The sequence below is a fragment of the Homo sapiens genome, chromosome 17 (assembly GCF_000001405.40).
Source record: "Homo sapiens chromosome 17, GRCh38.p14 Primary Assembly".
Taxonomy (NCBI): Eukaryota; Metazoa; Chordata; class Mammalia; order Primates; family Hominidae; genus Homo; species Homo sapiens.
The window spans coordinates 58,979,329-59,005,363 of record NC_000017.11 but is presented as its reverse complement, the minus strand read 5'-3'; the positions used below and the strand labels follow the sequence as shown (position 1 = coordinate 59,005,363).

General features: G+C 40.3%; 2 protein-coding genes across 51 annotated transcripts in view, besides 4 other annotated features; one reads left to right on the top strand and one right to left on the bottom strand.

The window, feature by feature from the left end:
- Positions 1 to 26,035, top strand: part of TRIM37 (tripartite motif containing 37) — a 139,680-nt gene that overhangs the window by 101,517 nt on the left and 12,128 nt on the right. For 8 of the 47 annotated variants that reach the window (NM_001353085.2, XM_047436125.1, XM_017024669.3 and 5 more), the window contains 2 exons: positions 3,650 to 3,766; positions 5,905 to 7,162. In NM_001353085.2, coding sequence (NP_001340014.1) covers positions 3,650 to 3,766; positions 5,905 to 5,987 — 200 coding nt within the window. In that variant the 3' untranslated portion in view covers positions 5,988 to 7,162. Of the gene's footprint in view, positions 1 to 3,608; positions 3,767 to 5,904; positions 7,163 to 17,296; positions 20,596 to 22,442; positions 22,716 to 26,035 lie in introns of those variants that run through there. The other 39 variants (XM_047436122.1, XM_047436114.1, XM_017024667.2 and 36 more) reach the window with 15 other exon arrangements.
- Positions 2,912 to 4,111: an enhancer, noted in NCBI's record as "CDK7 strongly-dependent group 2 enhancer chr17:57078614-57079813 (GRCh37/hg19 assembly coordinates)". NCBI's record gives its function as "activates an origin of replication core promoter dependent on BRD2, BRD4, P300/CBP, MED14 and CDK7 cofactors, with strong dependence on CDK7, by STARR-seq in HCT116 cells {active_cell/tissue: HCT116}" and the evidence as "EXISTENCE:reporter gene assay evidence [ECO:0000049][PMID:35650434]".
- Positions 3,628 to 3,677: an enhancer, noted in NCBI's record as "active region_12494". NCBI's record gives its function as "activates an Ori minimal core promoter by ATAC-STARR-seq in GM12878 lymphoblastoid cells {active_cell/tissue: GM12878}" and the evidence as "EXISTENCE:reporter gene assay evidence [ECO:0000049][PMID:35858748]".
- Positions 3,728 to 3,967: an enhancer, noted in NCBI's record as "active region_12493". NCBI's record gives its function as "activates an Ori minimal core promoter by ATAC-STARR-seq in GM12878 lymphoblastoid cells {active_cell/tissue: GM12878}" and the evidence as "EXISTENCE:reporter gene assay evidence [ECO:0000049][PMID:35858748]".
- Positions 11,667 to 11,867: a silencer, noted in NCBI's record as "peak2922 fragment used in MPRA reporter construct". NCBI's record gives its function as "represses an SCP1 promoter by STARR-seq MPRAs in K562 erythroleukemia cells {active_cell/tissue: K562}" and the evidence as "EXISTENCE:reporter gene assay evidence [ECO:0000049][PMID:32103011]".
- Positions 20,185 to 26,035, bottom strand: part of PPM1E (protein phosphatase, Mg2+/Mn2+ dependent 1E) — a 229,326-nt gene continuing 223,475 nt past the window's right edge. For all 4 annotated transcript variants that reach the window (NR_048561.1, NM_014906.5, XM_047435630.1 and 1 more), the window contains one exon: positions 20,185 to 25,390. Coding sequence is in view for 3 of the 4 variants with exons in the window: in NM_014906.5 (NP_055721.3) it covers positions 24,333 to 25,390 (1,058 nt within the window). In the remaining variant the exon portion in view is untranslated. The remainder of the gene's footprint in view (positions 25,391 to 26,035) is intronic.

Sequence of the window (26,035 nt, the reverse complement as noted above, 5' to 3'; positions counted from 1 at the left end):
TGCAGTAGGCTGAGATCACGCAGTGGCACGCCAACCTGGGTGACAGAGTGAGACGCCGTCTCAAAAAAAAAAGATACACATGTAATGAATAGAGTTTGAAAAATGTATTTAATAACTTTTTTAAAAGAATAATGTAGATTTGGGGAATTCCAGAGAATTCCAATTCATTGTTTTTGAATCCTGAAGGTTGGTATTTGTCGGGAATTCAGAAACACTACTAATAAGAGGTCAAATTTGTGCCTTGAAGTTCAACTCAGTGTGTTTTAGTGTTTTCAGCAACAGTTCCATGAAGGGCCACAAGGTGGAGGTGGTGCTTCACAGAACTAGCTAGTTTTGGCCTCTTTAACCGTCTCTGCTCTTTTTCTTTTTCCCCTACTTCATAAAATTGTTGTAAACTCTTCACTCTTTTAGAACAGGAAAGTTTGTTTTTTTGTTTTTTTGTTTTGCTGAAGATGGAGACGATTTCTAAATATTTAAGGCTGAAATAATGCTAACCAAACTCTTCTTAAAAAGAGAAAAGGAAGAGTGTACCACTGAAGCCATGTGGGGCCACAGTTGCCTTTGTTGGAAGCTTTTTAAACTAGAGCAGATTTTATTTCTTTAAGAGTTAAAATACCCATCGATTTTTCCTTGAGTAACCTTTGGTAGTTTGTACCTAGGAAAGAATTTGCTCATTTCATCTGTTTTTGGTTTCATGAGCATACAGTTACTGATAGCATTTTATTATATTTTACTGTTTATAGAACCTGTAGTTGATGTCCTCTTTCATTCCTGATATTGGAAATTTTGTTTGCTCTCTTTTTGTTAGTGAATCTACCTAGAGGCTTTTTTAACTTTATCGATCTTTTCAAAGAAACACCATTTTGTTTCATTGTGGTTTTTTTGTTTTTCTGCTGATTTTATTATGTTTTTTATTATTTCCTTCCTTTTACTTGCTTTGAGTTTAATTTCCTTTTTCTAGTTTCTTAAAGTAGTAGTTTAGATTATTGATTTGAGATATTTTCTCTTCTAATATAAATAATGTCATACCTTTCCTTTTAAGCACTGCTATAGTCACATCCCACAAATTTTGATATGTTTTATTTGTATTTAATTCAGAATGTTTTTTATAATTCTACAAAATTTTCAACTTTTTTCCTTTTATCTATTGTCTCTCCTTTGTTATTTTTGCTATCTCTATGGCATTCTATTTGACACAATTTAGACCAGTCCCTTTATCCCCTTCATTCTTAATTCTTCCTTCCTTCCTCTGTCCCTCAGGGTCTTGTGTTCTGTTACCTAGGCTGGAGTACAGTGGTACAATCATAGCTCACTGCAGGCTTGAACTCCTGGGCTCAAGTGGGCCTCCCTCCTCAGCCTCCCTAGTAGCTAGGACAATTACAGGTGCACACCAATGTGTGCCTGGCTAATTTTTAAATTTTTTTTTTTTTTTTTTTTTTTTATAGAGATGGGGCTTTGCTAAGTTGCCCAGGCTAGTCCCAAACTCCTGGGCTCAAGCGATCCTCCTGCCTCAGCCTTTCAAGTAGCTGGGACTACAGGCATGTGCCACCAGGCCTGGCTGATGAGCATTTTATCTAGCTTTAAAGCCCTTAAATAATTCCAGACATCTGTGTCATCTCATCATTGATGTTTGTTGGTTGTCTTTCCTGGTTTTTCATATGCTGAATAATTTGGGGTTGTATCCTGAACATTTTCATTAGGTTTTTTTTTTTTTTTTTAATAAGACTCTGGGTCTTGTTTTAATCTGCCAGTTTTGCTGTCATTCAAATTCAGTCTTCATCAGTATGCCTGTTTCTATTTACTTTTCAAAGTAAATAACTATGAATATCCTTAAATAACTACACTACCCATCTCTCCAGGTTTTATTGCTACTTTCAGTGGAAAAGATAGAGTGGAATGTGCTTGCTCCATTGTACCTAGAACCTTCCTTCCAGAGAGGATTTTACTTTTGCTTTATTCAAATAACACTAGCTCCTGAACAATTTTTATGTTAATTTCTTAAAATTTGAACCTCAACCTTAAATCCCAAACCGAAATTAGGCACATAAATCTTACTTTGAATTTTGAGGTAAGACTTTTTTCCCCCTCTTCAGAGCCCAGTAGAAACAGACAAAATTCCTTGCTGTTTTCCTATGCCAGTAGGCAGACATTTTTCTAGTCTGTTCTTTCAATAGGAATTTTAGCATTGGCCAGGCATGGTGGCTCATGCCTGTAATGCCACCACTTTAGGAGGCCAAAGCGGGTGAATCACTTCAGCTCAGGAGTTGAAGACCAGTCTGGGCAACATGGCGAAATCCCATGTCTACTAACAAATTACAAAAATTAGCCAGGTGTGATGGCACAGGCCTGTTGGGAGGCTGAGGTGGGAGGATCATCTGAGCCCTGGGAGGTCAAGGCTGTGGTAAGCCATGATTGCACCACTGTACTCCAGCCTGGGTAACAGAGTGAGACCCTGTCTCAAGAAAACAAACAAAAATTTTAACATTATGCAGGGGGTGGAGTTTTAGTCTCACTTTTAATTCCCTTTCTGTGGGGGGTTCATTTTTCTATCCCAAGGCAGTGTTTAAAAATCCTCACAGGAAGCTCTCCAGGGCAACTGTGGTCCCTGACCCACTAATGAAAGTTCCTTATCTTTCTTTGTTTCTGACACTGTGGATTTCCTTTCTGCCTTTTAATGTGCTTGTTCATTAAAATAATGTTTTACATTTATATTTTATCTTGCTATTTGTAAGGATTTGTAGCAGAAAGATTTTCAGGTTTTCTTGATTGCTATCTTGCTGAAACAAATACTTTTTATAGAATTATTCTTTTAAAAATCAACTGATGTGGCCAGGCACAGTGACCTGTAATCCCAGCACTGTAAGAGGCTAAAGTGGGAGGATCTCTTCTCAAGCCCAGGATTTCAAGACCAGCCTGGGCAACATATTATAGCAAGACCCTGTCCCTCCAAAAAATTTTTAAATTAGCAGGGCATGGTGTCATGTACCTGTGGACCTATCTACTTGGGAGGCTAAGGCGGAAGTATCCCTTGAGCTTAGGAGTTTGAGGCTGCAGTGAGCTATGATCAGGCCACTGCAGCCCAGCCTAGGGTGACAGAGCGAGACCCTGTCTCTCAAAAAATAAAAATAAATACAAATCAACCGACATACACAAAAAAATTAGATGCCCAATTAGAATACAAACTATTATTAGAATTGCCAGAATTTCTAATATTCATACACCATGTGGATTTGTATAACACATTTATATTTATGTTTTAGGCTAGGGAATATAATTATGTCTATAATGAATCAGGATTAAAAGAGTTCCTGTTATCTCTTGTGACTGAAAAAAAAACAGTGTTTGATTTGGAAAAAAGTATTATCAGTATAATAAAATTAATGCTGGTTTCAAATAATAACTTTCAGGTACTATGGAAAGGGCAATTTTAAACTTTGAGAACAGAAATAAAACCACTCTAAATAGCTAAAGAGAATCGAGGTTTGTGCGGTTACTTTTGTCTTTGTTTTGTTAGTGTTTAGTTTGTTGAATTCTTGGCATTCCATGTAAAATTCAATAGGAATCTCAGTTTAGCAGATACGGAGATTTCTGTTTCCTTTTACTTACAGTGGTTTCTTTTCAGAAACATGTTCTCCTTCCTTCCTGCCAGGAATGAGTAGCGACAGTGACATTGAATGTGACACTGAGAATGAGGAGCAGGAAGAGCATACCAGTGTGGGCGGGTTTCACGACTCCTTCATGGTCATGACACAGCCCCCGGATGAAGGTGCAGCACATGATGTCATTTTACACAGATTACTAAAACCACCGCTGCCGCTTCTCTTTCTTCTTCTTCTGCTGCTGCTACTTCTACTTTTTCCGCTCTACTGCTTTTGCTTCTTCTGCTTCTACTTCTTTTTTTTTTTTTTTAATTATTGTCATTTGTGAGACAACATTCTTTGGTTAACTATTATGGTGAGTACTAAAAAAACACAGCCAGTAATATTTGGCTTGGTTGCACCTAATGAGTGCTACTTACTGGGCAGAGACGGGGTCCACAACCTGCTTTTGTATAGTCTGTGACCTGAGAATGGTTTTTACTTTGTAAAGAGTCTTTAAAAACCAAGCAAAAGAAACAAAGAAGAATTTTCTTTGTGGGTTTTTTTTTTCTTTTTTTTTTTTTTTGCCCCGAGATGGAGTCTTGTTCTGTCACCCAGGATGGAGTGCTGTGGCGTGATCTTGGCTCACTGCAACCTCCGCCTCCTGGGTTCAAGCGATTCTCCTGCCTCAGCCTCCTGAGTAGCTGGGATTACAGGTATACACCACCACGCCTGGCTAATGTTTTTGTATTTTTAGTAGAGATGGAGTTTCACCATGTTGGCCAGGCTGGTCTCGAACTCTTGACCTCGTGATCCACCTGCCTTGGCCTCCCAAAGTCCTGGTATTACAGGCGTGAGCCACCGTGCCCAGCCCAAAGAAGAATTTTCAAGAGAGTCCATTTGTGGCCTACAATGCCTAAATATTTACCCTTCATAGGAAATGATTGCCAATCCCTGGGGAGATTTCAGATGTTTGGGTTTTTTTTCCTTTTCTAGCCTACTGTAAGATAACTTTAACCTTTTAAAATAAAAATAACTTAGAAATACATGCAGATTATGAAATAATTTTTATTCCCTCCTACCCCCAAAAAAGTTATTAGGAAAAAAACAAGAGAAACCTACTATTAATATTTTCCCTTGTTTTCTTCTGTCTTATTTGCATTGCATTTCTTCTTCTTTTTTTTTTAGACAGAGTCTTGCTCTGTCTCCCAAGCTGAAGTGCAGTGGCACAATCTCAGCTCACTGCAACTTCTGCCTCCTGGGTTCAAGCAATTCTCCCACCTCAGCCTCCTGAATAGCTGGGACTACAGGCATGTGCCACCACATCCAGCTAGTTTTTGTAATTTTTAGTAGAGACAGGGTTTCACCATGTTGGCCAGCCTGGTCTCGAACTCCTGACCTCAGGTGATCTGCCCACCTTGGCCTCCCAAAGTACTGGGGTTACAGGTGTGAGCTACCATGCCAGCCCTACCTAAATATTTTATAAATAGTTTTTTATTCTGCTTTTTTCACTTAAATATATTTGTATGTTATTTAAAATTTCATAAACTTCATTTTTTATGGCAACCTAATATTCTATCATGTGGATATACCATAAGTATTCTGCTGTCAAGCAGTTTTCTGGAATACAGATTAATCAGTAAAAGGATATACTGTCAAGTTAGAGAAATACACATTTAAAGTTACCCAGAGGCCTTAATAATCAATCTGAACATTCCTCTGCAAGATATCCTGGAGTGACAACATTGTTAAGCCTATGCCATTTTCTGCTTTATATTTTGCATATTTTCCTGGTGCTCTGGTATCTTTTTCAATACAGAACCAAGCATTTGATGATTTGTAAGTATTAAGGCATCTTTAGTAACTTCCTCTGCTTCTAAAATAAGCATCCAAATTTTGTGCAAGTTATTTGGAGTGCTGGTGGGTTTTTGTAGTGATACTTGAATGCGTAGTTTAATTGGCTTTGAAATATGTTTTATGTTTATAAGGTCTTGAATCTTGAGAATATACACCATTGCTTCTTGTTCCCTTTTTAAGCTGTCCCCAGATTGTCCCCAGGAGGACAAAATGAGACAATTCCTGTCATCTTTTAATTGTGGGTGTCTATTACACATTTTGTTTTTTTCTCCTTTATTTTTCCTTTGTGTTTGCTTATACCTGACTCAGATCACAAATTCTCTGAAGACAGAGATTTGTTCACAACCCAGCACATCTTTATCACTTAAATAACACATTTGGTAAGATTATTTAAAGACTTGGGAAGGAAAATACTGCCCTTGTTATATGCTTTTAAATTTTAAATTTTTTATTTATTTTTTAATCATAGATACACATTCCAGTTTTCCTGATGGTGAACAAATAGGCCCTGAAGATCTCAGCTTCAATACAGATGAAAATAGTGGAAGGTAATTGCCAAATCAAGAGAACTGACTTGCAAGCTACCTTGACCCTGAATTTTGCTGTAGTTGGTGCTCAAATTTGTCATCAGTCAGATAATCAGATTTGGTCTTATTTCTTCATTATCTCGACCTGAAATAGTAATTTGGAAACTGTTGGAAGGTGGCACAGTTTAGTCTAAGACAGCAGTAGTACATGGGAAAAACAGTATGGGAAGAGTTCTTTGTAATGTAAGGAAATAACAATGTAGTTCTCTATTAATTTAGCAAATTTGTACATTCACAAAAGGCAGTTTGTCTACTACAGCAGAAGGCTGGTTAACTGCCAGAAAATGTACCTCCAGGCCCTGCATGCCGTCAGTAACCCGCCCGGCATTGGTGCTCTACTGTCTTTGGCTAGAGCTTAGTTGTGTTTAAATAATCATCTTTATATTTGGGGTTTTAATTACAGTTCCATTAGTGCCTGTAGATTAGTGAACAGAAAATTGCTTTGGAAGAGATTCTGCCCTGTAGACACTATGTGAATAACTGAAGTAACACTAGACTGAATCTCCTTTTTGGAGTATGTATCTTCTCTCACTTGTTCAAGTACAGGCACACTGTTCAACCGCATGGTATCTTTCTGTTGTGTGACTTCTACAAATGTAATTTTAAATGAAATTAAGTTAACATGGATTCATTACGTTCCTGGCCCTGTAGACACGTGTAAGATTATTTAAAATTCTTTCATTTTTTTCTGCCTCTTACTATACGACTGTAGTGCAACAAATATTTTAAAGCCCCCTTTTCTTCTTTATTTTCATTAGTTGTACATTGATTTCAGTGTCAACACATTTAAAGATTCATTCATGTTGCACAGTGGCTTACATGAACGTGAAACTGTGATATAAGGTTTTCTTTCATACTCATAATTAGCCCAAAACAGTTGCCAAACTTTGCCATTGTGCTCCTGCATTTGTGTTTGAGCTGCTATATATTTGTGGAAATTACACTGAAAGTTGACTAAGAGACTATTGAAAAAGCATGAATAATTAAATATACATGTGAGAGACATCTCATCTGCTGTATTTTACTTAGTGAATATTGTTCACTCTTCCGTGTCTGATGTCTTGCTGAATGCTGTGACTCATAGTTTACTTTTGTTCAAAATAGTTTGCACTTTTTGTTAATAAAATCAACTTGAGAAAATATGCCTCTGCTGTTTATTAAATTGGGACCAGAAACCCCTTCTTTTCTACTCATTGCCTCATTAGTAGTGTAGAGAAGATCCAAACATTTGATTAGTTTGTGTTTAGTCTAATGGCGAGGAGTGATGCCTAGCATCGATCCCAGTCATTCTAAAATTAGAATAAACCTGAAAGGCCAAAAGATTTCTTCAGAGATGATAGCTTTTAGTTCAGACCTGTTTGCTTTTAGGACAGGAAAGTAGTTTCCCCCTCGTTTCCAAGCCACCTTATATACTAAAGCTGCTCTGAGTTCCTTGGTGATGTCGGGAACACCGCTGTTTTCCCTCTTCCTTGATGTAGTCTGCTATGCTAAATTTTAGGTAGCAGAGAGGGAAGGAAGAGGCACAGGAGAAGAACCAGTTGCTCCACTCTCTGCTTGTCCTACTTTCTTGCTCTTTCTGTACCCTGATAGAGCCCTCAGCATGTTTTTTTATTTTTATTTTTGTAACCTTTCCTTTTTTGCTGAAGAACAGTCTGCTGTTACCTTGCTTCTGTATTTAGTATTTTATCTCAAGTTCATTCCTGGAAAATCTCTCCTGAATAGAGTTTTCTTAGGGCTAGAGATACATTAATGCTTGTGTTGTCTGTGAACGTGTCCTTTCTGGACAACTTTAACTACTTGTGTCATTGATCTTTAAGTAACCTTTGAGGTAGATGAGTTGTGTATCAAACCTGTTTGGCCATGGAGCCTTAGGTTCAGGGAGGTTGTATGATTCTCTTCAGGTTCAAAACCACTGGCAGGGATGGGGTGAACTGCTGGTCTAGTGCCTTTTCCACTTTATCTCACTTGCAGCAGACCCAACATTCTGATACCTAATAATTTAAAACCTAAAGATTATTCTTTTTTTTTAGCTTTTAATTTTGAGATAATTTCAGGTTTGCAAAAGAGTTGAAAAAATTGTGCAAGAGTTTCCGTATACCCTCTGCCCAGCTTCTCCTTTTGTTAATGCCTTACATAATCACAGAACAGTGATCAAAACTAAGAAGTTAATCCTGGTTGCAATATTGTTTACCAAACTACAGAATTTGTTCAGATCGCACCAGTTATTTCACAAATGTTCTTTTTCTGTTCTAGGATCCGGTCTAGGATCCCACATTGTATTTTGTTACCATGTTTCCTCAGGATCCTTCAGTATATGACAGCTCTTCCGCCTTTCCTTGCTTTCATGACCTTGATATTTTTGAAGAGGATGTGTTATTTTATTAAATGTTCTTCTTATTTGGGTTTGACAGATGCTTTCCTATATTAAATTGAGGTTATGCATTATTGGGAAGGCCCTTAGTGCATCACATCAGGGGGGATATGATGTTGATATATAAATATACATATATATACATACATACACACACACACACACACACACACACACATATATATATACTTTTTTTTTTTTTTTGATGGAGTCTCACTCTGTTGCTCAGGCTAGAATGCAGTGGCACCAGCTTGGCTCACTGCAGCCTCTGCTTCCCAGGCTCAAGTGATCCTCCCACCTAAGCCTCCTGAGTAGGTGTCCACCAACACACCTGGCTAATTTTTCTATTTTTTGTGGAGATGGGGTTTCACTCCAGGCTGGCCTCCAACTCCTGAGCTCAAAGTGATCCCCCTGCCTCAGCCTCCCAAAGTGGTAGGTTGATTGCAGGCTAGATTGCAGGTGCGATGCTGGCCTGATACTGATTTTTTTTTTTTTTTTTTTGAGACAGGTTCTCACTCTGTCGGCCAGGCTGGAGTGCAGTGGCATGATCTCAGCTGACTGCAACCTCTGCCTCCCTGATTCAAGCCATTCTCCTGCTTCAGCCTCCCAAATAGCTGGGATTACAGGCATGCACCACCACGCCCGGCTAATTTTTGTATTTTAGTAGAGATGGGGTTTCACCATGTTGGCTAGGCTGGTCTCGAACTCTGACATCAAGTGATCCACCCGCCTCGGCCTCCCAAAGTGCTGGATTAGAAGCATGAGCCACTGTGCCCGCCCAGCCCTGATGTTGATACTTTTTTATTGGTGAACTTAACCTTGAGATTACTTGGTTAAGATGGTGTCTGTGAGGATTTCCTACTATAGATTTACGTTTTCCCCCTTTGTAATTACTAAATATTTGGGGCAGATACTTTGAAACTATGCAGATACCTTGTTTCTATTAATTATTATTATTATTTTTTTTTGGAAGACAGGGTCTGGCTTTGTTACCCATGCTGTAGTGGTGCGATGTTGGCTCATACAGCCTCAACCCCCTGGGCTTAAGCGATCCTCCCACTTCAGCCTCCTAAGTAGCTGGGACTACAGGCATGCGCAGTCACACTGGGATAATTTTTGTATTTTTTATAGAGATGGAGTTCTTGAGTTCTTGGGTTCAAGTGACCCTCCCGTCTCAGCCTCCAAAAGTGCTGCGATAGAGGCATGTGCCACTGCGCCCAGCCAAAACTCTTGCTTACGAATTTTAGCACCTAGTAGTCGATCTTGCCTATGGGAATTATTACTGTAATGTTTTAATGGTACTTTTCTAATTCACTAATTTCTTCTATGTTTTTTGTTAGAATGCTGTGAGGAAAAGTCCCTTCTTCCCCATTTTTGTAATTTCAGCTACTTATTTATATCAGCTACTTTATATATCTATATATGATGGATATTTATTTTTGAGTTATGACTCAATACTGTTAATATTTTGTAGCTTGGCTTGTTCTAATTTTAGCCATTGGAAACTCTTCCAGATTGGCTCCTGTGCCCTTTTCATATGTCTCATTCTTCTTTTTTTTTTTTTTTAAGCATTTCTTTGCTTTCTGACATCACAAGATGCCTACCCCAGCCATGGAATTAACCACTTCCTAAGGAACCATGGTTCTTTTTATTGGAGAATGCTATCTAGAAACAAAGATTTGGATGCCACATATTTATTATTATTAGACTGTCACTGCTTCTAGTCCCACTCAATGGATAGATAGAAAATGTAAATTGGCTGGGTGTGGTGGTGCACACCTGTGGTCCCGGCTACTTGGGAGGCTGAGGTGGGAGGATCACTTGAGCTTGGGAGGTAGAGGTTGCAGTGAGCCAAAATCGTGCTACTGCACTTCAGCCTGCGTGACAGAGTGAGACACTGTCTCAAAAAAAAGAAAATGTATGGCCGGGCACAGTGGCTCATGCCTGTAATCCCAGTACTTTGGGAGGCTGAGGCAGGTGGATCACCTGAGGTCGGGAGTTCGAGACCAACCTGACCAACATGGAGAAACCCCATCTGTACTAAAAATACAAAATTAGCTGGCTGTGATGGCGCATGCCTGTAATCCCAGCTACTCAGGAGGCTGAGGCAGGAGAATCGCTTAAACCCGTGAGGCGGAGGTTGCAGTGAGCCGAGATCGTGCCATTTGCACTCCAGCCTGGGCAACAAGAGCGAAACTCTGTCTCAAAAAAAAAAAAAAAGAAAGAAAGAAAATGTATATAGACAGCTGTTCCTTAGCATCTGTGAGGGATTGGTTCCAAGACTCCCTGTGGATACCAAAGTCCACAGATGCTCAAGTCCCCTATATAAAACGGTATAGTGTTTGCATATAACCTGTGCACATCCTCCTGGATACTTTGTTTTGGGTTTTGAGACGGTCTCATTCTGTTGCCCAGGCTAGGGTGCAGCTGTGCATAGCTTACTGCAGCTATGAAGTCTTAGGCTCAAGCAATCCTCCCACCTCAGCCTCTCAGGTAGCTGGGACTACAGGTGTGAGCCACCACGCCTGATCTCCCAGATACTTTAAATCATCTCTGGATTACCTGTAATACCTAATACAATGTAAATGCTATGTAAATTATTGTGCTATTTTTTTTATTATTTTTTAAAAATAAATTCTGTCTATTGTTGGTTGACTCCATGGATGCAGAAACCAAAGATAATAGAGGGCTGACTGTATAGTTAACTCATGCAAATACACACATTTATGTGTATTTCTGTACATATCTGTGTGTGTGTGTCACTATGACTGTGAGTCTATATTGGTAACAGTTCAGCTCCAGAGGCCTCATTCTGGCCTTCCCTCTTATTTATAATGCCTTTCTCTGACAGAAGCCTAGCTCTCATTAGCTACAATATATGTATGTACTTGTTCAACCCTAATATACAAGTAGCTTCAGAACCGTTGGCCTCCTGTGGATTCCAGGCTATGCCCTACAAAAAACAGATTTACCACCTAAAATACAGTGCTTGTATACAGTTCTTTTAGTCTTTAGCTTTTCAGTATTGTGTCATAACATTTTTTTCAAAGATATTTAGGTTCAAAATTACATTAGTTCTGTTCTTTCACAAAATCCCTTCATTGTGATTTTGTGCTTCGTTGGTGTAACAGGTTCATCTGTTATGGTCTACATTCTGTCCTCCCCCACATATCCTGGTTAATTTGTAAATTTACATACATTAAAATTCAGTCTTTCTGGCATACAGTTCTGTGGGTTTCAACAAATGTCTTGTATCCGCCACCACAATACTATACAGAACATTTCAGTCACCCCCAAGATTCCCCTGTGCTGGCCCTTTATAGGTAACCACCCCCCTTCCCCACAGCTCCTGGCTACCGCTGATCTGATCTGATCTGATCTGTTCTCTGCCCTTTTAGTTTTTGCTTTTCCAGAGTCATGTAAACGGGATCACAGTTTGACCTCTCGCTTCGCAAAGTGCAGTTAAGTTTCACTCATCTTGTGTGAATCAGCACCTCCTTCTTTTTTATTGCTGAGCAGTAGTAGTCCACTGTGTGGATATACCACTGTTCATTCATTTGCCCATTTGGGTTATTTCTAGTTTAGGGTGATTAGACTCTTGTAAACGTTTGGGTACAGATTTTTGTGTGAGTGTAAGCTTTTATTCTCTAGAGTGTTACATGCTGTATTAGTCTGTTTTCATGCTGCTGATAAAGATATACCCGAGACTGGGCATTTTACAAAAGAAAGAGGTTTATTGGACTTACAGTTCCACGTGGCTGGGGAGGCCTCACAATCATGGCAAAAGGTAAAAGGCACATCTCATGTGGTGGCAGACGAGAGCTTGTGCAGGGAAACTCCCCCTTATAAAACCATCAGATCTCATGAGGCTTATTCAGTATTACAAAAACAGCACAGGAAAGTCTTGCCCCCATGATTCAATTACCTCCCACTGGGTCCCTCCCATGATATGTGGGAATTCAAGATGAGATTTGGGTGGGGACACAGCCAAACCATATATGCCTAGGGACAGGATTGCTGGGTGTGCAATAGAGAATTTGTCTGGCCTTTGTCCTAGTTCCTGGGAAGTGCCCTCTAAATCCTTGGCATTCCTCAAGTGTTAGGAGTTATTTATGGTGGGCCTTGCTAGTGTATGCTAATGAGATGACTCAGGATCGGGGCTGGCTACACCAGAAATGCTGTGGGTGTCATTAGACAGTTGGAGCTCTGAACCATGTGATAGCCCAGTTCAACTCATTGCCAATGATTGTTATGCCTACATAAGGAAGTTCCAGTAAAAAATCTGGACACCTGCCGGGCACAGTGGCTCACGCCTGTAATCCCAGCACTTTGGGAGGCCGAGGAAGGCAGATTACCTGAGGTCGGGAGTTCGAGACCAGCCTGACCAACATGGAGAAACCCTATCTTTACTAAAAATACAAAACTAGCCAGGCGTGGTGGCGCATGCCTGTAATCCCAACTACTTGGGAGACTGAGGCAGAAGAATCACTTGAACCCGGGAGGTGGAGGTTGCCGTGAACCAAGATTGTGCCATCGCACTCCAGCCTGGGCAAAAAGAGTGAAACTCCGTCTCAAAACTGGACACTAAAGCTTGAGTGAGTTTCCCTGGTTGACAGTACTCTGTATTTATATATATATATATATATATTTACATATGTATTTATATATATATAAATATATATAAATATAAATATATATATATTTATATTTATATATATATATATCAGTGTGCCTGGAGAGTAAGTTGTCCTGAAGTCAAGGGGCCTTCACATTTGGGCCTCTCCCAGGCCTCACCCTATGTATCTCTCCCTTTAGCTGGCTTTATTTGTAACCTTTTGTCATAATGAAACTCTGATCATAAGTGCATTTCTGAGTTCTGTGAGTTGTTCTAGTCAATTATTAAACATGAGTAGGATAGCAAATACGCCCAAATTTGTAATCAGCTGATCAGAAGTGAGGGTGGCCTCAGGATCCCGGAACTTGGAGCTTGTGTCTGGAATGAGGGCAGTCTTGTGGAAGACTTTGCCCATAACCTGTACAGTTTGACCTAACTCCGGGTGGTTGGTGTCAGCACTCATTGCACTGAGTCATATGGTAAGTAGAGTCTTTACTGAGACGCTGCCCAACCTCCACAGTGACATACCATTCTGCATTCCCATCAGTAGCACATGAGAGTTCCAGTGGCATCTCACAAATATTTGGCACTGCCAGAAGTTTTTTAGCCATTCTTTTTGGTTTTTCTTCTAACCAACTGAGCTAACCAGCCATTTTTTAGCCATTCTAATAGGTGTGTAATGGTATTTGTTTTGCTAATATTTTGCCAGAACTTTTCCATCTATATTCAGAGCGATCCTGGTCTGAAATTTTCTGTCGTCATCTGATTTGGTGTCAGAGTAATGCTGACCTCATAAAATGAGTGTTCTATTTTCTGGAAAAGAGGGTGTAGAATTGGTGGTATTTATTTATTATTACTTTTTTTTTATCTCGGCTCACTGGAACCTCCACCTCCCAGGTTGAAGCGATTCTCCTGTCTCAGCCTTCCGAGTAGCTGGGATTACAGGCACCTGCCACCACGCGCAGCTAATTTTTGTATTTTTAGTAGAGACAAGGTTTTACCATGTTGGCCAGGCTGGTCTCAAACTCCTGACCTCATGTGATCCACCCACCTTCGCCTCCCAAATTGCTGGGATTACAGGCATGAGCCACCCTGCCTGGCCTTATTCTTTAACTGTTTAGTAGAATTCACCAGTGTAACCAACTAGGAGGAAACTTTTTTCTTTTTTTTTTTTTTTTTTGAGACAGAGTTTCACTCTTGTTGCCCAGGCTGGAGTGCAATACTGCGATCTCAGCTCACTGCAACCTCCGCCTCCTGGGTTTAAATGATTCTTCTGCCTCAGCCTCCTGAGTAGCTGGGATTACAGGCGTGCGCCACCACACCTAGCTCATTTTTTTTTATTTTTAGTAGAAATGGGGTTTCACCATGTTAGCCAGGCTGGTCTTGAACTCCTGACCTGGTGATCTGCCCACCTCAGCCTCCCAAAGTGCTGGGATTATAGCCGTGAGCCACCGTGCCTGGCCAGGAAACTTCTTTTTCTTAGGTGTGGTGTGGTTGGTATTTACCTTGCTTGGTGTGCTCTGATTTTTTTTTTTCTTTTTCCTTTCTTTCTTTTTTTTTTTTTTGAGACAGAGTTTCACTCTGTTGCCCAGGCTGGAGTGCAGTGGCATGATCTCGACTCACTGCAACCTCTGCCTCCCGGGTTCAAGTGATTCTCCTGCCTCACCCTCCTGAGTAGCTGGGATTACAGGTGCGCACCACCACACCCAGCTAATTTTTGTATTTTTAGTAGAGACAGGGTTTCACCAGGTTGGTCAGGCTGGTCTTGAACTCCTGACCTTGTGATCCACCTGCCTCAGCCTCCCAAAGTGCTGGGATTACAGGCATGAGCCACTGGGCCCAGCCTTGATTTTTTTTTTTCTTTTGAGACAGAGTCCCACTCTGTCACCTGGGCTGGAGTGCAGTGGCTCGATCTCAGCTCACTACAACCTCCATCTCCAAGGTTCACACGATTCTTGTGTCTCAGCCTCCCTAGTAGCTGGGATTACAGGCGTGCACCACCATGCTTAGCTAATTTTTGTGTTTTTAGTAGAGATAGGGTTTCTCCATGTTTTCCAGGCTGGTTTCAAGCTCCTGGCCTCAAGTGATCTGCTTGCCTCGGCCTCCTAAAGTGCTGGGATTATAGGTGTGAGCTACCATGCCTAGCCTTTTTTTTTTTTTTTTTTTTTTTTTTTTTTGAGACAAGGTCTTGCTTTGTCACCCAGGCTGGAGAGCAGTGGCATGATCACAGCTTACTGCAGCCTCAACCCTCCTGGGCTCAAGCAATCCTCCCACCTCAGCCTCCTGAGTAGCTGGGACTACAAGCCACACACCATGTCCAGCTAATTTTTTTTTTTCAGAGGGGGTCTCACTGCATTGCCCAGGCTGGTCTTGAACTCCTAAGTTTAAGCTATCCTCCCACCTCAGCCAACCAAAGTGCTGGGGTTACAGGTGTGACCCACCTCACCTAGCTTTGCTTGATGTTCTCTGAGTTTCTTTTATCTGTGGTTTTGTGTCTGTCATTAGTTTTGGAAAACTCTAAGCCATTATCTCTTCGAATATTTCTTCTGCCCATTATCTTTCTCTTCTCCTTCTAGGATTCTAGTTGTGCATATTTTACACAGATACTGTCCCACAGCTTTTGTATATTACGTTCTGGGTTGATTTTGTTTTCCCTTCATTTTTTTCTGTTGTGTTTCAGTTAAGGTAATTTTTTTAACTTATCTTCAAGATGTACTGATTTTCTTTTCAGCAGTTTAGAGCCTACTGATTAGCCAACTGAAGGCATTCATCATCTCTGTTTTGGCATTTTTCATGTCTTACATTTCTATTAATATTTAATTATAGGTTCCATCGATTTGCTGTAATCACCCATATGATCTTGCATAGTATCCACCATTTTTCTTGACATAGTAAACATAATTTTATTTTTTTTATTTTTTTGAGAGAGTCTCGCTCTGTCACCCAGGCTGGAGTGCAGTGGTGCAATCTCAGCTCACTGCAACCTCCACCTCCAAGGTTCAAGCGATTCTCCTGCCTCAGCCTCCTGAGTAGCTGGGACTACAGGTGTGCACCACCACGCCTGGCTGATTTTTGTATTTTTAGTAGAGACGGGGTTTCGCCATGTTGACCAGGCTGGTCTCGAACTCATGACCTCAGGCAATCCTCCCACCTTGGCCTCTCAAAACAATAATTATTTAAAATTCTCTCTCATTTCCAAAATCTCTGTTATCTGACTCTGGTTCTGATGAATGTTTCATATCTTCAGAATGTTTTCTTCTTGGCTTTTCATATGACTCTATATATTTTGTTAATAGCAACACATCTCACATAGGACAAGATACTTTGGTGAATAGTTTTTACACCTGAAAGTAAGGAGGCCTTTCCTGCTGCTAAGACCTTTGTTGGCAGAGGTTGAATTAATATATTATGGCTGGTGGAAAAGTAATTGTGGTTTTCGCATTTTTTAATGGCAAGAACCAAAATTACTTTTATGCCAATCTAATAGTAGTTAGGAGTTGTGCTTGGTTCAAGATTGGATTTGCTATGATTATCCTTAGTGGTCTCGAGTTCCTGTGATGATACCTTGTATTTCTGATTGGTGTTGGATACCAGAGCACTGTGTTTCTGACCCTGAGTTTCCAGGCTCAGAAGCTTTGTGCTGGGTCTCCAAGAGGGTCTCTCTCTCTGCTTCCGTTGCTCTGCTGTCCTCCTCCTGGAAATACTCTGCTGTTTCTTGAAGTGTAACGGGGGCTGGGGAGGGGCTGGCGTTCTTGGATTAGGTTGCAGTTTTAGGCACTGTGTCCCTAGGTTTGGGAGGGTCTCTGTTTACTTGCCCCTTCCCAGCTAATTGTGGGCCCAGTGATATTTCTGCCCCCTCCTCTGGGATGGGGCTTTTCTTCCATAGTCCCTTCTCTCTGCTGCAGTGACTTTTCACCAGTGTCCAGACGGCAACAGTATTTGTGCTCCTTTTCCCTCATAGGGTGCTTTTGTTCTGTGAGATGAGAGAAAGGGTATGGTAAGTTCCTTTACCCATGCCCAAGGCCGCTGTATACTCCCCTGGGTGTGTGTCACAGCCGACACTTCTTAGGGCTCTTTACAGTATTTTCTGAGCCCCTGGTAGAGATTGTAAAGAAAAAGCCTGCAAGATAGGGCGACTCCCCTAGTTTCTGCAGGCCCCCGGGTCTTAACACTCCTGCAGCCCATATTCTGCCTTCACCAATCATCACTTTTAGCTAGCCTATTCTTTCCAGTGTCTGTTTACAACGACCCTACGAAACTAGTGCTAATGTCTTCTCTCCCCTTGCAGGCAACTGCCCCTCTCCATTTGGTGCCACTTGGTTACTCTGCAACCTCAGCTTTCCAATGGATTCGAAAAAATGTCCTAATTTATAGTTCATCTGGCTCGTTTGCATTGTAAGAGTAGAAGAAATGCTCCTTCTACCCCTACATCCCGGAGTGGAAGCTGGAAGTGCTGTGATTTAAAAATGTATATATGTAAAACACACATTTTATTGAATGTAAAACATGAGTGTAATTAATCCTAAAACCAGAATTCAGAAAATGAGCCATTTTTAATTTTTTTATCTAGTTTTTTAAATGTTTGAATTATAAAGGTGATAAGATTAGAAAAATTTGGGAAATAGAAAACCCCAAGAGCTATTTTCTTTTTTGCATATTCATTTGAATTTTTATGTGGTAATATTTTTAGATTTCTCCTCATTCTACCTCTCATTCTCACATCTACCAATACATGCCTTCATAGTCTAGATTTATAGAAGTTTTAGAACTCTGCTTAGGGATGCTTAAGAGCAAATGGTAAGATTAGCCACAGTGTAGTTTGGGACATCAGTAGTACGGGCTGCTCTCTTTCTAAAATCCTTTTCTCTGGCTGGCATGTTGACCGGGAGTCTCCCTTCCATTCCTGCTCTGCAGACCCTGCGGGCCAGAGTCCTTGCCCGAGACCTTCAGGTCAGTCAGTGTCTCCTGGTGTGCATTTGGGAAAGGCTGCTGCATAGGCTCACCTCCCACTGGGTTTCATTTGACCTAGTGAACCCGTAGCAACTCGATTTGGCTTAATTGGCCACCCCTAATCCTGTAGCTGTCATACTACTCAATGTAATGACTAGCAGGGACAACTTTTTCATCATCTTTAGTTAAACTCCAGTTACTCATTTGGAAAATGGTTTCCCCAAATGTGTATCATTCTTGACAGTTTTTCACATTTGTTTCCCTGGTCCTAAAGCAAGATTATAAAAATCAAATAGAACCTGTGTGTGAGGGCCCTTGTTTGCACAATGAGGAGAGGACACACTTCATCTGGAGGTTGCGTGACTGGGGCAGCATCCTACAGCTCAGCATAAGAGGCAGGCTCAACCAACTGCCCAGGGAAGAGCGCTTCTTACTAAACATATTCAACAGTTGGGGCTCTCAGAAAAGAATGTGACTTGTTTTAAATGTAAGTAAGGGATCTTCCATAAGGTTATTCCTAGGCCAAGCAAAAGGAGGTTCCCTAAAGCACAATAGAAAAAGTGTTCTTTACTAATTGCTGTTAAGATGACAGATGGGGCTGGGCGTGGTGTCTCACACCTGTAAATCCCAGCACTTGGGGAGGCCAAGGCAGGCAGATCACTTGAGGTCAGGTGTTCAAGACCAGTCTGGCCAACATGGCAAAACCCCGTCTCTACTAAAAACACAAAAGCCAGGCGTGGTGGCCGACGCCTGTAATCCCAGCATCCTGGGAGGCTGAGGCACAAGAATTGCTTGAACCTGGGAGGCAGAGGTTGCAGTGAGCCGAGATTGCACCACTGCACTCCAGCCAGGGTGACACAGCAGGACTCTTGTCTCAAAAAAGAAAAAAAAAAAAAAAAAAGACAGATGGAAACTTGCAATCAAAAAGAAAATGATGCACTTAGGGAGGCCGAGGTGGGAGGGTGGATCATCTGAGGTCAGGAGTTCGAGACCAGCCTGGCCAACATGGTGAAACCCCACCTCCACTAATAATAATAAAATGAGCTGGGTGTGGTGGCGGGCGCCTGTAATCCCAGCTACTTGGGAGATTGAGGCAGGAAAATCGCTTGAACCTGGGAGGCAGAGGTTGTGGTGAGCCAAGATCACGTCACTGCACTCCGGCCTGGGTGACAGAATGAAACTCCATCTCAAAAGAAGGAAAGGAAATGATGCACACTGACAGCAACAGGGGGCGGGTGTGGGGGGGAATGCTCAGTTATGCAGCTTGTCAGTACAGACAGTTGTTTCTGATAATTTGGTAACTTGGGTAAATTTCTATGATGTTCAAATGATTTTACTGTACCTAGTGGTTCCCTTCTGTCTTGCTGTGTGCTGCTCCTTCAGAAAGAGGTGTTCCTTTTGATCTAAGTAATACTATATTTTAGGGAATTTTTTCAAGTGTAACACTTACTAATCAAAATGTTCCTTTTCTGTCATTCCCTGCTTCAGTAAACCCCTTCAAATATGTCCTTCTTTCAAAACTTCACCTTTTTTTTCTCAATTGTTCATTTGGTTCTATATAAAGTCATGCCAAGGACTGAATGAATTTAGGGAATTAGGAGTTGAAGATTTTTGAAACTATGTAAAATTAATTGTAAAGGCCTTCTTTACTGGTAGGCAGGAGAACAGTGCAGTGTATTGACAAGGTTGACTCGTTTGGAAGGTCAGTTCCCTCCCTTCAGATGCAGGTGTCGTAAGTGACTTCCCTCCCCCACATTGTCCTTTTTGTCTCTGTCTCCTTTTACTCACTTATCAGCAGTCCTTGGGAGGCTTTCCACCACAGCTCATCTGATGATTTCCTTACTTTCTTCTAGCTTGAAACTCAAAGAGGCTAAGCGAAAGGGGAAAGCTTGGTTAGATGCAGAGTTCTAAGAATGAAGTAGTTGGGAGATTTGATGACCACCGCTTAGTCCTTGGCAGGTCGGGTTCCTCTTTTCTTTTAGGATTATAACACCACTCCCTCTCCTCGCAGTTCAGCTAATGAAGAGAACATGTATAAGGCTAAATACCTCTCTTCTGGGGTAAAATAATGTTACAGCAGCATTTAGCAAATCTTCTTTTTAAATGTTCCAAGCTTCCAAACTTAACGTCCATCTCAGGATTTTATTTTCCAGTTCTGAAGAAATCTGCACAAATTTAAACAGTAAATAACTTACCTTTCCTTTAAATAAAAAGACAAATGACTAGTGGTTTTTAAATTGCCAGGTTTTATTAAGATAATTGGCAAAATTTCAACATACACCTTACCTGAATGAACACTTTTAATAAAATATGAAGGATCACTCATGACTACAACTGAACTCAAAAGTGAGATGTAGAGCAGATTTGTAAATTGATAAATTTATTTGGTAAGAAATTATTCACTTCATTCGCTTCACTCCATAGAGAATTCTTTGCAGAGAAATGTTATGAACAAGAGAACAAAGCCTGTCTCTCACCAAAGAGCACCTAGAGTAAGAGTTTACAATGATGTATCTGGATTATCTAATTCATCAAAGTTTATTTCCTTTTCAAAAACAACTGCTGTGTCAGTCTGGAGTTCCCTATTTCATGTTTTCTAATTATTACAATAAATAGTCTTCAAAATAGAAGATAAAATGCTGCTTTAAGAAGTAACAGTTATTTTTCAACACCATACCATTTGTCTGGAAAATCATTGTGTTGTAATACTGGTGGTATCTTACTTTGTTTTGCAAGAGACATTTAAGCTATTTGCAGATCAGAATAGAAGAGTGGGCATTTGTCCTTTAACATCACGTGATTTTCAAAGGTGAAAAAAATTTCTTTTGCTAACTTACGATTCAAAGAAAAATGGTCTCAAATTAAAGTGTGGACAAAACTGTAGTATTCCCTTTTATAGCCTTGCTTAGGTAAGAATGTTCACTGAGTGAATAAATTAGGTTTAAAAATTAAAACAATAATTTAGATCATTTTCCCACAAAGCCTTATCAAGGATTTGATGGGGAAGGAAGCACTTGAACCACAGCAGTTTTATCTGTAAACACTGAACTTGGCCATGCATCATTTTCATCTGCCCACTGGATGTTGCACTTCTCACTGGCACAGTGTTTCAACAGTGGAGTGTGGTTGTCATGAAAATGCAGTATTGACACTATACCACTATAAATGTGGTCAAAATTAGACTCAGTGTTGACATTGACATTGTTGCCATTGTCCTTGGAAAAGGTGTTACTTTCAAGGAGCCTCCTAAATGCAACAGTAACTTTAATCATAATAATTCAAGGACAATGGATGGCACTTCTAGGTAAAGAAAAGGTATATACATATGTGTTTCTACCCATCCTCTTTAGTACAGACCTAAATGGGATTAATAGCCCCAGTGTGTGTTGCTGTAATGTTGCCTAACCTCATGTCCCTCAAAAGTACACATCTAGAAAGTGAACAAAGGAAACCTGTAAATTAGGGACTGACTCCCTTTGAAACTCACAGTGAATGTACAAGGAGTTTGTAATGACTTCAGTTGGTGACCTGAAGTTTGTTTCCCTAACCAATATTACACTCTTGTTTGGATTTATTTTACTATTTCCTATTCTAACTTGTTTAGCAGGCAAACAGATTGATGCAGACCATGTTAAATTGAAAAAGGGATACTGCCACTCTTTAAGGATTGAGTGTAGAACTTTCACCACCACTAAATTACACAATGAATAAAAATACAAAACACATAATTCACAGACTATACCTCAGCATTAACAGTTTATAGATATTATATAGATACTTTTATATCTGTCTAATATTTTTACAATCACCAGGTACACCATCATTAAATACAAGTTACAGAAATATGTAGATACCATTAGTTAGAGGGTTACTTATTGCTTACGTCAGCAAGCAGCAAATAAGGGCACAGGATTTGAACTGAAGGGAACTACTTCCTATCACCAGTGGCGTTAAGAGAGAACACTGCATTTCACAAAGCACTGCTTTTATCTAGTTTATAGAACCAAGAGCAGCATATATCAGACCAATAACCACTATTTTAGTATGTATTATAGAATTTTAAAGGATTTACCTTACAAATGGTACCTAACTACTCTATAAATACGCATGTTGTGAACAAATGAATAGTTGCTATTTTTCACAATATTGGTTTATAACGACCACACTAGAACTACTTTGCTTTATTTTGTAGAGAGCTAATGGCATGAGAAATGAGTTAACACTGCTGTGTAGTCGGACCTACAAAATCCAGACCCCTAAAGATGGGTCTGTGTTTGTCCCAGTTCTATCCAGCCATTTTTTTCCCCACTGAGAAAGCCTAGCATGTGTAGTAACTTTTTCCCTTTACCCTCTTTATTCTGATCAAAAACATTACCAATAGACAACAATAGAAATTTTAAAAAGCTTTTTTTTTTACTTCGCTAAGCACTTTGGACTATAATGTGTACCAATAGTCTGCTGCCTTTGTTTTCTTGTTTTCTTAGATAATTTGATTTGAAACTGACACTGCACCTGATGGGTTAACAAGATCTAGGCTTCAGAAGGTGACAGATATGAGTGAGGACCATGTGTGGGGCAAAGCCTCAGAATGATGAAAAGGTTCCGGCACTATAGTTGGGGCCATGTTGACTCCTTTTCAACCATTTGTCACAGACGTGAGAAGAAGAAATGACTTCAAAATCAAGAGAAAACAAATACTGAAAGTCTCTACTTACATCCAAATTTTAAAAAATAAAATCTGTAGATTAACAATCTGATCATTGCTAAAGTGAAGCTGTTTTTGTCTATTTGATATAGCTATACTGGTATCCAAAATATGCCAGTCATCTGTGTCTTTAAAATTCAGAGATTTTAGTCCTCTGTTATGGGCCTGGGGAACGTGTACTATCCTATAAACACATGATTAGGCGGGGGACACTTCTTAGCGAGAGCACTCACCCTTGTTAGTGAGCACTCCAGAGGGGCCACCCATAGGCATTGGCCAGGCTGGTCTGCTGTTGACTAGGGGAGGGTAACACTAAGACATTCGTGACTCTTAGAGAATCAGAGGCTGCTTCACTGAATGAATGAATCTGATAGTTTGTTGTCTTTAGTTGACAACATGCTTCTAACTAACTTGAAACTGCAGAAATAGCAAAAAGCAGACAGTTTCAAAATATCAAATATAACTAAATATTGAAATGAAAAGCACACGTCCTGTCTCTGCAGTCTGAAGCTACATGTAAGCAGGACACTCATGTGTCTTCCAATTACAACTAAACAGACCTGGCTGTCAGTAATCTGCATTCTCAGTGGCCTCTGGGCTCACTTTAGACAATACTTTCAGCCTCCTTCATTCCAATTACTTCACTACCTTGGGGGAAATAATTTTAGAGAAGATAAAAGTAGCATTTTTCATTCTCTAAAATCACTTTGTATTTTATAGTAGTACATGCCTTTGCTGTCTGAACTAAAAAAAGACAAAATATAGAAATGCTTTTGATTTTCTTTGTAAATGGTATTTTGACTCTATAGTGTATTTGTACCTGACATCATCTCCGTTAAAGCAGTTTTATTCCTGAGATGAGGGTACAGTGGAAAACACATTAGCATCATAGATTAAAACCAGTTGACAGCGGTCTCCTAAAATGCTAAATAATAAAAATTTCCACCAAAAGCACCATAACAGGTTATGAAACTCCCAAATAACTACAGCCCTAGGAAATATTTTTTAATTAAAAAAAGTTCACAATCTTTTATGTTACAGGAAAAAAATCCGTAAATCTTTCTGACTATAAACCGCCTCACAAGTCTGAGAATATGACACTTTTACACTGATTTACCACTTTCATTGTTATCAGTTAAAATCCATATGGCTTTTAGTCTTTTACCTACCCAAAAAGGTGAGGGGGCAGGGGGTTCCTTCATAGTGCCCAGGATTTTGAGGGACATTTCCCAACCAAATGTAATTCAGCATTAAATTTTCCACAGATAAATTAGGCACATCAGACCAGATTTCAACTGCATTGAGATTTCAACACTGTATATCCTGACTGAAATAACTAACTTGAAAGCTTCCACTAGTGACTGAAGGGATGGTGGGAAGGGGGTTGTGTATCTAGTGACATGAAGGATGGTGGGAAGGGGGTTGTGTATTGGTGTCGAGACACATCACAGGGACCAGCTGTGTAATTTTGCAAGTGAAACTGCCAATACTTCTTTTTAGATTGAAAACACTGTACTTTGAGTTTCCTAGAGATCTATTTACATTTAAGAATTGAGCCATCCATGGATTCATAATGAAGCACATATGTTTTAGAAATGTCTACCTTGTTTCTACTCTGATAGTGGTATTTTTATTGGGGGAGAGCTAGCTAACCTACTTGAAAGAAAAATTATTCTATTTTATAGCTCCAAGGAAGATCTGGGCATGGAATATCATGAGTCTTTCTGAGCTTCCTCATGTTTTCACTGTACCCTTTCCAACTATTTTGCCTCCATGGCAGAGAACTTCTTATCCTATTTCTCTTCCCACTTCCAGTAAGTGAGGACAGGCTAGTGCCTATTTTGTGGGAAGGCTCTTGAGCAGAGAGAAATGAATAAAACTTTGGATTAAACCTGAATCTGTGCCACTTCTTTGAGTAGTGGTGGCGTAAATGAGACAATCTAGAAACTCTGTTTCCCGGGGATTTGAACTGTTCATTTTCCAACCCTGAACAGACAGGAGACAAGCTCTGCATTCTGTATATCTGCTCCCCTGTTGAACCCAAATTGAAAGCAGTGGGAAACTCTCCAGCACCACTCCATTCAGGCAATGATGACTGAACTGATTTTTTCTCCATCATTAACTCATTAATAAGATTTGCTTTCTTTGGTGCACCAGGACCAAACATCTCAACTGGTAGCAAAAACTGGGCACTGTGAGGTTTGCTTGCTTCTATTTGTGTGAGATCTAGGTAGCCTGGGTCTTCCAGCACGTTGATTTGGGACCCTGGGCTCAGGCTAGTTCTATCAGTGAATGAATCCACACGCCCATCATAGCCTAGGTCGGCTGGTGCTGAGCACTGGTGCTGAGGCCAAGGGCGTTTGCACTCTCCATGATTCTCCTTATCATCCCCACCATCTTCTTGCCCTCCTTGAAAAGAGTTCTCTGTCCAATCTGATTCCTCACTAACATTTACAGCTTTGTTCATGTCCCTCAGGAATACCACAATAACCGTGATGTTATCACTTGACCCAGCATCACGAGCTGATGCCACTAATTTGTGGGCAACCATGCTGCTGTCTCCATTATTCTCTTTCAGGTGGTCGGACACAACTTTCACTGCCTCATCAGGGTTCACGGTGTCATAGAAGCCATCACAGGCCAGAATGAGGTAGTCTTCGGTCCCATCCAGAACAGTGGAGGCAGAATCTGCATCCCCACAGATATATGGCTTATGTTCAGCATCTCCTGCGGGAAGCAGAGTGTAGGGGCATCATTAGCATTTGTTTTACCTTGCATGCTAAGAACGTTTATGACCAATGCCATGACTCTGATCACAGCTTACTGGATTGTGAACTGACTTGACTGGAAAGAATTTATAAAATAGTTTTTGACAAAATACTTAAATTCTCTGGTAATCAGATCTGCTTACTCCTTACTCCCAGTTAAATAATTGCTAGTTACTGGGCATAAGTCCTTACCTAGCTTAGACTCTGAATCTGCACCTCTGGCTATGATTTAGGCTTAGCTGAGTGTAACAACAATGTCAGATCTAAAAGTTTGTTGCTGTACTGAAAAATTCAGTACACTGTGTAGGAAGACATGGTTGATTCAGTAGATCTGTTCTTTTGCAGGTGGTTTTGATTTAATTGAAATTTGAAAACAAGCCCACATTGAAAGAAGCAAACCAAAGCTCTGATCATTCTCTTCATTAAATAATTTTTGTTCTATTCTTGTTTAGAAATCAATAAATAGCTTCATGCTGCGAGCACGAAGGAAGGTTTGAGTTACACGAGATTTTATAAATCAAGTCTAACTCCCTTAAGCCAGGAGGAGTTATGTGGCTGACCCAAGGCCTCACACATGGGAGCTGAATGCAGTTTTCTTGATTCC